Source organism: Homo sapiens, chromosome 4 (genome assembly GCF_000001405.40).
Source record: "Homo sapiens chromosome 4, GRCh38.p14 Primary Assembly".
In the NCBI taxonomy this organism is placed as follows: Eukaryota; Metazoa; Chordata; class Mammalia; order Primates; family Hominidae; genus Homo; species Homo sapiens.
The window spans coordinates 3,693,698-3,705,306 of NC_000004.12; the positions used below are offsets into that span (position 1 = coordinate 3,693,698).

The window sequence follows — 11,609 nt, forward strand, 5'->3', positions numbered from 1 at the left end:
AAATCCACCCCCGTGATTCAATCACCTCCCACCAGGTCCCTCCCCCAACGTTGGGGATTACAATTCAAGATGAGATTTGGGTGGGGACACAGAGTCAAACCACGTCCTATAGTTAACATTGTACGAAACCGTGAGCCTGTTTTCCAAGGAGATTGTCCTCTTTCACGTTCCTGCAGTCAATGCTAGAGAGTTCTAGGTGCCCCACATACTGCCCCATGCTGGGCGTTGTCGATCTGTTTAGCCTTAGCTGTCCAGAGGTTGTGCAGACGTGTCTCAGTGTGGTCCCCATTCGTATTCCTGGATCACCCATGCTGTTGAGCCTCCTTCCATATGTTTATTACTCATTGGCATCTTCTCTTTTGTAAAGTTTCTGTTCCAATCTCTTGCTTATTTTAAAGTTTTTTGCTTTCTTATGATTGAGTTGTGTGTATTATTGGGTTGAATTTCTTCACACATTCTGAAAGCAAGTCCTTTGTCAGACATATGTAATGCAAATGCTTTTTCATTGTCTCTAGCTTGTCTTTTCACTTTCTTAGTGGTATTTTTCAAAGATCAGAAATTTTATTATTTTACTGAAGCCCAATTAACTTTGTCTTTTATGGTTTGTGTTTTACATGTTTGATCTCATAAATCTTTGCTTGACCAAGATGTAACAAAGCTTTTCTCCTATGTAATCTCCTAGAAGTTTCATAGGTTTAAGTCTTACATTTAAGTCTAATGATCTATTTCGTGTTAATTTTGTTCTGATGATCTATTTAATGTTAATTTTGTATATGGTGTAGATTAAAGATTAAGGTTCATTTTTTTCTTTTCCGTATAGATGTTAAATGTGTTTCAGCACTTTTTAAGAAGACACTATTTTTTCCCTATTGAATTACCTTGGTATGTTTTTTGAAAATCAGTGGACCATACATTTGTGGATTTACCTCTGGACTGCATGCTGTTTTATTAAACTACATGCTTATCATCACGCCAATACCATACCATCTAGCTTACCGCAACTTTATGATGTATTGAAACCAGGTTGAGTGAGTCTTTCAAATATGTTCTTCTTCATCAGCATGGCTTTAACCATTTGATGTCTTTCACACTTCAACATAATTTTTATTATCAATTTGTCAACTTCTATTTTTAAAAAGCTGCCTGGGATTACATTAAATTGATAGATTAATTTTGAGGACATCTTAATAACAACGGATCTTCTCACCTGTAAACTCAGTATATCTCTCCATTTATTTGGGTCTTTAATTTATTTCAGAAATGCTTTGTAGTTTTCAACCTACAAATCTTGTACATATTTTATTAGGTTTGTCCTTAAGTATCTTACCTTTTCACTTTCTAATACTTTTGAAAGTATTTTATTCCATTGTGAATGGTATTTTAAAACTTCAGTCTCTAATTTTAAGTTGCTAGTATATAGAACTACACTACACCTTTCATATCCTGTGACTGCTAAACTCATGGGCTGGTTCTAGACGCTTTCTTCATGTATTTTCTTTATTGCACTGGCTAGGACCCTCAGGGGTGAAGGTAGAATCCTTGCTTTGGAGAAGGTATTTCTTCTTTCACCATGAGGTATGATATGATCTGCAGGTTTGTTTTTCTAGATGCCTCTTATCAGGTGGAGAAGTTGCTATGTATTCCTAGTTTAATGAGAGCATTTTTAATGAACAGATGTTGATGTTTGTCATATGCATTTGTTTTCATGCATCTATTCAGACGATCTTATCATTTCTTTTTTTTTAGTCTGTTGATGTAGTGAGTCATGTAGAATGATTTTCAATGTTGAGCTAACCTTGCATTCTTGGAAGAAATCCACTTAATCATGAAGTTTTATCACACATACCTCATCATTTTTACTAGATTCCATTTGGTAATATTCTGTTAAGAAGTTTTATACTTGTGTTCATGAAGGATACCAGTCTGTAGTTTTCTTTTCTTATAATATATTTGCCTGGTTTTGGTGCCAGGTATCATAAAATGAGTTTGGAAGTGTTTTCCCTACCTCTCTTTTTCTGAAGGAGCTTGTGGGGGGGTTGTTATTATTTATTTTAAATGTTTGTCAGTGTTCTCAAAGGAGTTTTCTTTGTGGACACATGTTTAATTAAATTCGACTTCTTTAATTGATATAGTACTATTTAAAGTAAGTTTTATTTTATAATAGTTTTAGATAACAGAAAAATTGCAAAGATAGTAAAAGAAGTTTTCATAAACTCCACGATCAGCTTCCCCTATTATTAGCATCTTATATTAGTATATGATGTATGTCACAATTAATGAACCAATATTTATACATTATTATGAACTAAAGTCCATATTTTATTCATATTTTCTTAGTTTTTACCTAAAGCCTTTTGTTTCTTGCTAGAATCCCATTCAGAATCCCATATTACTTTTAGTTGTTATGTTATGCTCTTGTGACAATTTCTTAAACTTTCTTTGTTTTGATGACCTTGATGAATTTAAGGAGTGCTGGTGAAACGTTTTGTAAAATGTCCCTTAATTGGATGTATTTGATGTTTTTCTCATGGCTAAACAGTGTCAATGGGTTTAGGGAGGAATACCACAGTTGTGAGGTGCTCTTCTCGTCTGTGGTTCAAGGGTTCACAGTGTCAACAGAGCTCATCACTGCTGATGTTGACTTTGGTCACCAAAAAATTGCCCCTCCCCCTTCCATACTCTGCTTTCTGGCAAGAAGTCACTGTGCACAGCTCACAGTTAAGGAGCGGGGAGCCATGCTCTCCTCCTGAGGGCAGAGTAGCTCCATAACTTATTTGGAATCCTGCCTGGAGATCTGCTCATCTCTCCCAGTATCTGATCATTTTATTCCTATCAGTGTAAACTCATGGCTGCTGGGTAGCGCCTTATTTTGTTGTTTAAATTTTTCTGGTTTTAGCCATTGGAAGCTCTTTCACTTGACTCCTGTGTTCCTTTGACACAGCCTCAGTTGTGTGTGTGTGTGCACATGTGTGTGCATGCGGTCCTTTTCTGAGCACTTTCTCAGTTTCTAGCACTACAAGGTGCTCCAGACTCATCTTGGATCATTCTTTACACAGGCTTAGAATCACCCATTTCCCTGAAGAGCCCTGGTTCTTTTCATTGGAGAGCAGTATTAGAAACCAAAAATGGGACCTGCTGTTACTGGGGAGTCATTGCTTCTCAGCCCTCTCAGCTGGCAAAGCAAGGAAATATGCATGCATAGCAACCTGTGTATATATACGTATCTTTACATATTTCTATATATAACCCCCTGTATCTGTACGAAGCTGGACATGAGTTCACATTGAGGTCTATTCCTAAGCAATTATCACATGGATCATTCTAGCCTCCTCCCCTTGCTTATCTGTAACCTCTCACCCCATCAGACAGAAATCTGTCTCCCACCATCTGCTATCCATTACTGAATTGTGCAATTCCTGTATCCATGCTTAGTCCATTTTGATAAACTATCTTTCAACTCTTGTATTTCATCAAAGCTGCTCAACTCATTGACATGAAGTTGTTCATTACATTTCCTTATTATGCTCTTCATGTCTGTAGGGTCTGTAGTACTGTCTCCTCTTTCATTCATGATATTGGCAATTGGTGTCCTCTCTTTGTTTCTAGACCAAGTGCAAATACAGATTAGGTGGAGAGTTGAATGTCACCAGGGTTGGGGTGTTATAACTGAGTGTGCTAAAATGAGAGAAGGGTAAGATGATTGAAAGTGTACGTATGTGTGTTTGTGTGAGGGAATGAGGGCACGAAGGGGGTGGGGGTAGTAAAGGTGCATGAGGGAAATGAGGGTGTGAAGGGGGTGAGGGCCAGTAAAGGGGTGATGGGCATAAAGGATTGTGAGTCCCAGGACAGTCATGTTGCTGGGGTGAGTACTTGCTGGGATGAGATGGAAAGACGTGAGGCTCTAAGTCTTGAAAGTAAGACTCTGTAAGGTGTGCCTTTTATGGCAATGGGAAAATCTACGGCATTTTCAGGGAGATGAGATACTGAAGGAGTGAATGGCTGTATCAGAGGAGAAGAGAAGGTCAAGGAACCAGTAGTCCAGCTGGTGCTGAGCTGGAATGTCTGCTCTAGGCACCATCCACAGAGATAGAGATACACAGGACACATGTAACCATCCAAACCCTGGTGGGGATGGAGAAAGGGCTGGGTCTGGTGTGTTTTGGATCTTAACTTGGCCATTTACCAGGAGAGTGACCTCAGAGGGTTCTTGGACATATTAAATGAGGTACAATACCTTGTGTGGTGCCTGGCACAGAGTAAGGACTCAAAATAGGCCAGGCACAGTGGCTCACGCCTGTAATCCTGGCACTTTGGGAGGCTGAGGTGGGAGGATTACTTGAGCCCAGAAGTTTAACACCAGCCTAGGCAACATAGTGAGACACTGTCTCTACAAATAATAATAAAAATTAGCCATGTGTGGGGGCATGTGCCTCTAGTCACAGCTACTCAGGGGGCTGAGGTGGGAGGATTGCTTGAGCCCAGGGGGTTGAAGCTGCAGTGAGCTGTGACCATTCCACTGCATTCCAACTGGGTCAATATAGTGAGACCTCGCCTCCCTGCAAAAACCCAAAAAAACTAAACAAACAAGAAAAGGACTCAAAATATTTGAATCCCTCAGTAAAAATAATTAAGAACTTTTTGATGTGTTTCCTTCCTGTCTTCTATTGGTGTCCGTTTTCATGGTAGGCTTTGTACGTCATTTTTCAACAATTTTCCTCCACTCATGATCTCGTCACATGGCACCGCTATCTGATGAAACATTACACAGTCATGCTTTAGTGTTTGTATCAGTTTCACCCCATCAGGGAGAAATCTGCCTGCTATAACAAGGTGCCACAAACTGCGTGACTAAAACAACAGCAATTTAACATCTCACAGTTCTGAGGCTGAAATGAAAGTGTCGGTGGAGCTCCCCCTGGGACTCCTAGTAGAATCCTTCCATGGTGGTGACCTCGTCCATCCTCCATGCTCCTCGGCTTGCAGCTCTGTCACTCCAACCTCTGCCTCCACCTTCCCATGGCCATCATAGGATTGAAGGTGTGTGTGTGTGGCCTTCTCCCTCTGTCTCTCTTTCTGAATCTTCCCTCTGACAAGAACACCAGGTATATTGGGTTAGGCACTACCTCACTCCAGCATGACCATCGCCAACTGAACTAGTGGCAGCCACAGCAACCCTATTTCCAAATCAGGTCGCATCCTGAAGTCTGTGAGGGAGGGGTCAGCATGTCAACATATGTTTTTGGGGAGCACAATTCAACCCATAAGGGTATTCCACCAAAAGCAGAAATAAAAATAGGAGTGACAATAGACAAATGTAAGACTGACAACATATTGATGATTGTTGAAGTGGGGGTGAGCACCTGGAGAAATTCCATAATAACATGGTTTTTAAAATCATGCTTTCAATGGACATTTAATGGACTGGAAAATGTTAAGTGCAAAAGGTAATATACAAAACTATGCATACTATGGAAGCCTGTATAGAAGAAATAACCCCAAAATGTTCATGGCAGTTTTCTCTAGGGAGTTTGGGGGCTTGTGGTTTTCTTCTTTTCACTTTCCACTCTTCTGTATTTTTGCAAAATTCTCATATTGGACATAGAGTGTTTGTACAATCATCAAATAATTTTGTTTTAAAAAAAATCAGACTGCCTCTCTGCTCATCCATTTCTATATCATTCACCAGACAGACCCCTCCTGGGGGCCATGCTTGCCCTGACCGGGTCGGCACCGTCCCAGCAGGGGGGCCGGCCACACCCACACCATGACAACCGAAGTCTCTGCCAAATCTCAGTGAGCCACAGTGGATCTAAGTGGCTGTGGTGGAGGCAGGAGAAGATGGCCCTCTTTAGAGTATTTGAAATCATTAATGGTTTTGATAAAAACCAACCCAGGAACCTCCAACAGGCCTGGTGGGAGTGTAGTGAGTGGGCCTGGGAGGGCTCGCCAGGCTAGGAGGGAGATGGAGGCAGACACGGAGTCGCGGGTGCAGCAAATGTGACCCACTGAGCTTCTCTCCCTGGAGGGGCGGGGGCAGAAGGGCCCGGGTGCCAGGAGAAGGCAGCAGAGCTGCTGCAGGGACCCGCGGGTGGTGAGGGGCTGCTCAGGGTGCTGGAAGCACTGAGGGGCAGAGGCAAGAGGGCTGGGGGCCTGGGGAGCACCGGGCAGTGAGTGCCAACACTCCTGAGCACTAATGCCCCTGGGGCCAGGCAGGAACCTTGGAAGGGGAGGTGCGGGACCTGGGATGGGCCCGGCCTGCAGCCTGCTCCTGGCTGTGGTGGCCACTTCCTGTTCCTCTGGGCACCCCCGCTTTCCCTCCAGTGACAAGGTTGACGGAGACTGTCTCCCGGGGCTCCTGCGAGGATAGAAGCTGCTGTGCTTGGAATGGGCTGGGCATCCCCAGTGCAGAGGGAGGACTCAGCAAAGACAAAGATGGAGGTGAAGGAGACGATGATGAAGCTGAAAATGCTGCTGCTGCTGCTGCTGAAAAGAGGATAAGAATGATGATGATGCTGGGAGGAGTGGAGGGGGAGGGGGGGAGGTAGGGGAGGAGTGGGGAGGGTAAGGAGGAGGGGGAAGAGTGGAGGGGAGGAGGGGAGGGGGAGGAGGAGGGGGAGGAAGTGGGAGGAGGAAGGGGAGAGGAAGGAGGAGGGGAGGAGTGGAGGAGGAGGGAGAGCAGGAGAGGATGGTGGCACTGATGAACAGGATTCTGGGGCTGGGCCGGGTAGCCTGGGTCTGTGCCCCGCCCAGGAGGGCGGATGGGCAGGCCGACAGGCGGATGGCTGGGCAGGTGACAGGTGGGCAGTCTGTACTAGGTTTTGGGGGAAATTTCTGGAAGGTCCCTCATAGGAGGCGCTGCTCCTTGCAGACTGGGCAGATGGGTTAGGGGTGAGCTGCATTTTGATTGGGTTGAGTTAAAATGAATGGAAATAAATTTGGATCTGTATTGAGTTGGATCTGGACTGAATTGAAATGAAATAAACTGAACTGAATTAAATTTGAGGTGAGCTGGCCTAGGCCAGGCTGGATGGATTTGCTGAAATGGGAGCCTCAGAGTTGAGTTTGGAATCTAAGAGCGTTCCAGCCCTTAGTAATCCTCAGCTGCGTGGGACTTGGCCCTTCCTGATGCGATGGCCTGGGGCAATTGTTCTGTTTGTGGGGTTTGCTGCCAGCCTCACCTCTGTACCCTCCCTGGAACCCTCCCACCCCACCTTCAGTGAGCGGTGGAAGCGGCAAGGCCCCCGTACGTGGCCGTGGTAGTTGTAGGGTCTGTGTGCCTGCATGCGGATGTGTGGGGCTGTGTGGGATGTGTGGGGGGTTGTGCATCCGTGTGGGGGAGGCACTTGTGAGCAGGTGTACCTGTCTGCATGCCAGCAGGGGCTAGGAACCCCTTCTTCTTCTGAGGGATGAATACCAGGGCCTCTGCATTTTGGAGGCAAACCATGGCTTCTCTCCCTTCTGGCCCTGGTCTATGAGCCCCTGTTTACCCAGGGCCAGGTTCTCTCAGTGAATCCTTTAAGAGGGTGGATCCTCCCAGGGGAGCCTCTGAAGCGGTCGCCAAGTCCACCCTGTGTGCCATAGGTGCTCCCCACAGCCAGCGGGCGCATGAATCCTCCCCGGATGGGGAGGGAGGTCACTGCTTCTCAGAGCCCAGACTGGCTCCCTGCCACTGCCCTGCACTGGCTGTGGTTCAGCTCCGAGACTGGTGCGGAGCCCGTCCACACCCTGGACAGCTCCTGCACATGACCGGGCTCCACTGGGGGTGGGCCGCGGGGGCTCAGGAGTTGCCAGCTCTGCCCTGCTCCCTCTCAGCTGGTGCCCTGGGCCTTGGCAGCCACAGAGGGCAGGGTCCTGGCTGTCTCACCCGGCTGGGCCCAGGAAGCTGTCACCTGGCTCCCCATCCAGCTCACATCCTCCTTAGAAAACAAGGCTGGAGGATGCTGGTGCTGTCCTCCAGGGGGCCTGAGAAGAGGAAGCCAGGCGGGCGGGGTGAGCCCCTGGGAAACAAGAGCCATCCCTGCTGTTGCTGGGGTCACCCCTTCCCGCCCTCTGTGAGCCTCCTGCCCCAGCCCCTCCCACGGAGGGCCCGGGAGGCTCCATCTCCAGGCAGCAGCAGCTGCTTTGATCATGGGGTCTCTTCAGGAATGGGAGGATCAGGGTTCCGCTGCAAGGGGCTGTGTGGGGGAGGCTGGGTCCTGGCCCTCTTTTCGCCTTAGTGCGCCCCCCATCCCAGGTCATCCTGGAGCCCCACCGTCCCCTCCAGAAGCGAGTCGCAGCTCCAGGTTGCTACAGAAACAGGCGAGCTCTGGCGTTAGCAGCCTCACAACCCTGGTTCCTCCTGCACCGCTGCCTTTGCGCCTGCCGGAGTTCTTGGTGGGTTCCCTGGGGGAAGGGAGGTAACACGTAACACAGATCAGCACCTGTGGGGCACTCCCAGCTCCCTTCAACTCAGACCGCCTGCTGGTATTTGCACAATTAGGAGGCCCACTTGCAGATGACAGAACAGGCCTGGAGAAGGAGAGCCGCCTGCCCAGCCACACATCTCCCGAGGGCAGGAGAGGACCTCCAGGCTGGCCTCAGTCTCCCTCGGCCGCGATCCCGTGGCCCCCAGGTCTCAGGGGCTCTGGGGTGCTTGGTGTTTGGGCTGCAGGAGATGCTTCTGCTGTGTGACCCCCCTCCCACTGCCCGGACTGACCCCCCTCCCACTGCCCAGACTGACCCTCCTCCCACTGCCCGGACTGACCCCCCTCCCACTGCCCGGACTGACTGTGTCACTCTGGGTGAACCTCTCCCAAGCTGGGCCTCAGTTTCCCCATCCAAAAAATAAGAGGTTGCCCATACGACGGGAGGGCGCCCGTTATGATGCCCGGGTCCCTCCCAGGCACCCCCCATTTTGGTGCCCAACACTCTTCCTTTCCCCCGCTCCTGCATCTGCCTCTGCTCCTATCTCTCCCCGTGGGGTGACCCTCCTTCCGCTAAGGCCGGCAGCATCCTTGGTCCAGCCTCCTGGGGGGAGCTCAGTGCTGACTCCAGGGGCAGGGGCTGCAGGGGAAGGGGTGGGGAGTGCAGAGCTGAGGCCTCCACAGGGGCTTCAGTGCAGGGCCTGCCCCAGGTCAGGGGAGCAGCCCTCGGTGCTGGCCAAGATCGGGGGGCCCAGCTGTCCCTGCGGGGCAGGCCTGGCCCACCCAGAGAGGCCCCACCCCACGTTAGCTCTCAGGTCTGCTCCTTTCCTTGGAGTCCCTGAGTTCTGAATCCAGCCCCCCTCCCCCGTGCTTGGCAAGGGGGGCTCCAAGGAGAGGGAGGAGGGGTGGACAGGAGGAGCACGTGATGCCGTCACGGTGGGGGCTGGACATTTGTCACGACCGTAGAAGGTGCCACACAGACGGGGAGCCCTCGTGCCGACCGTGGGCTTCAGCTAATGGCGACGCGTCCATATGGCCCCTCAGTGCGGCAGACGCCCCCACCGCACCAGTGCACGAGGCACTCGCGGAGCCTGTGGGGCGGGAGGTGTGCGGAGCTGCGTGCTGTGCTTCAGGCCCAGTTTCCCTGTGACCTAAAACTGCTCTAAACACTGAAGTCCATTAATTAAGAGGGGGGGGAAGGGTGAGGGGCAGGACAGCAGTGAGGGTGCGGGTGGCTCTGGAGGAGGGTGGCTGACCTCGGAACCTGTCCCCATCCCAAGGCCATTTGCAGCTTGTCCCTGAGAGAAGCACAGAATGGCACGGTAGCAGCAGAGATGGGGGCAGGGTGGGGGCAGCCGCCTTCTGGAACAGTCAGCCCAGGGCTCTGGACCCCTTCGGCCTCCAGAGGCCCCATCTGGCATCATGGGAAGAAGAGAGGGTGGGGAGGGGAAGTTGGGAGTTCTGCCTGTCAGTGTGGGGGGCTTTCTGTAGCTAATGGGGGCGAGGCCCAGGGTGGGGACTTCAGGGAGAGCTCCCATCACTGTAAGGGATGTTGGGACCTGGCTGGGTTCTGTCAGTGCCAGGCACGTCCCCACCAAGGATCAAACTGCCACCTGAGACCTGGAGAGGAGGGCCGACATGCCAGCCCCACGGGAAGACGGGCCGCGGGGCTGGGCCCCATCCTTTGGAATCTCCCAGGACTCTCCTGCCTCCCTGGGACCAGCTAAGGACAGGAGCCGCTGCCAGAGCTATTACCGGTGGGCGCGGTGTGCAGAGACAAAGGCACTGATGATCTCAGGTTTCTTTAAATGCACCGAGGAACTCAGAGGAAGTGGGCTGCATTTCTCTCTAATCTGTGATTCTGTCAACTTCATTTTTTTCCCCTCTTCCCTGTAATTATCCCATCGGTGGGTGAAAATAAACTCCTGCAAGGAGACAGCCTCCCAGAAGGCGAGATGCCGAGCGGTGGGAGGCCAGGCAGCAGGTGGGTGGGGAGCCGTGGCTGGCGGCTTCCTGGGCTTCCTCGCACCCTCTGCGGTTTGGGAGCAACTCATAGAGTGACCTATTGTCGTGGCTCGCCCAGGACCGTCCTGGTTTTAGCACAGAAAATCCCATGTCCCAGGAAACTCCCCTAGTCCCAGGAGAATGGGGAGGGTGGCCCCTTACACACAGGCTCCTGAGGGTGTCTGGGCTTCCCAGGACAGCTGGCTGGGACCCCACGCCCCGTGTCTGCCTCCTCCGGGCGCCCCCACCACAAGCACACCAGCCTCATGTGACTGGCACTCTTTCCACCTCCCTTCCCTGCAATTCCAGGGCCTCCCCTCAACCTCTTCCCTGGGGACGTCCACGTGGACTCTCTTCCCCAAGGTCCACCCTGGGACTCCCCCGAGCACCACACACTCAACCAATGACCCTCTGAGCCCCCAGTGTCCCCACCTGCTACTCTGCTGGACAGCAAGTGAGTTACACCTTGTGCTTTGGTTTTCCCATCTGTAAAGTGGGAATCATGGTGAAATCTAGCGGTGGGGGTTTTGCAGGGCTTCAGCTAACGAGTAAATCTAAGGTGCTTAGACCCAGTGCTTGTTACGAACAGATAGCGATAAAGATCGCTATTTCTATCACCTCTGCATGTCAAAAGCCACTTACTTCCCATAACCACTTAGAGATTGTTAGTGGAATCTGCATTTCACAGATGAGGCACAGAGAAAGGAAGGAACTTGCTGGGAGGACTGGACCAGTCAGTGCCCACGGCCGGCGCTGCCTCCAGCTCTGTGGACTGTGAAGCCAGGATGACCCTCTGCTGAGGCGCCTCTCGTGTGGGCGTATAATCATCCCGATCATCATTTCTGGCAAATCAAAAACCCAGCACAACCCCACATTGAAGCTCTCAGAAATGTCTCTTAATAGCTCTGATTAAAGAAACACACATGAGCAGGTTAGAACCAGAGAGAATTGATTGTGCTGGGTAGCGGTTAAGCTGTCTCTGTGTTATTTAGCTCTTAAACAAGGAACTCTGCTTTGGAGAAAATATTAATTATTTCTCTTTTTCCTGGCTCGACTCTTAATTGCTATTTTGCGTGGGTGGAGTGGGAGCCTTTTGAGGTGAGGGAGGGAAACTGTTCTCCCCTAAATGGGTCAAACTGCCCTGGGGTTATGATCTCTGCCTCAGGTGCAGAGACGTCCAGTCACATGGCTTACTTGGTGGGG

General features: G+C 50.2%; 2 annotated features.

Annotated features, from left to right (window-relative positions):
* Positions 9,176-10,083: an enhancer, noted in NCBI's record as "H3K4me1 hESC enhancer chr4:3704600-3705507 (GRCh37/hg19 assembly coordinates)". NCBI's record gives its function as "activates a minimal SCP1, AML or CMV promoter by ChIP-STARR-seq in naive H9 embryonic stem cells {active_cell/tissue: H9 hESC(naive)}" and the evidence as "EXISTENCE:reporter gene assay evidence [ECO:0000049][PMID:30033119]".
* Positions 10,084-10,990: an enhancer, noted in NCBI's record as "H3K4me1 hESC enhancer chr4:3705508-3706414 (GRCh37/hg19 assembly coordinates)". NCBI's record gives its function as "activates a minimal SCP1, AML or CMV promoter by ChIP-STARR-seq in naive H9 embryonic stem cells {active_cell/tissue: H9 hESC(naive)}" and the evidence as "EXISTENCE:reporter gene assay evidence [ECO:0000049][PMID:30033119]".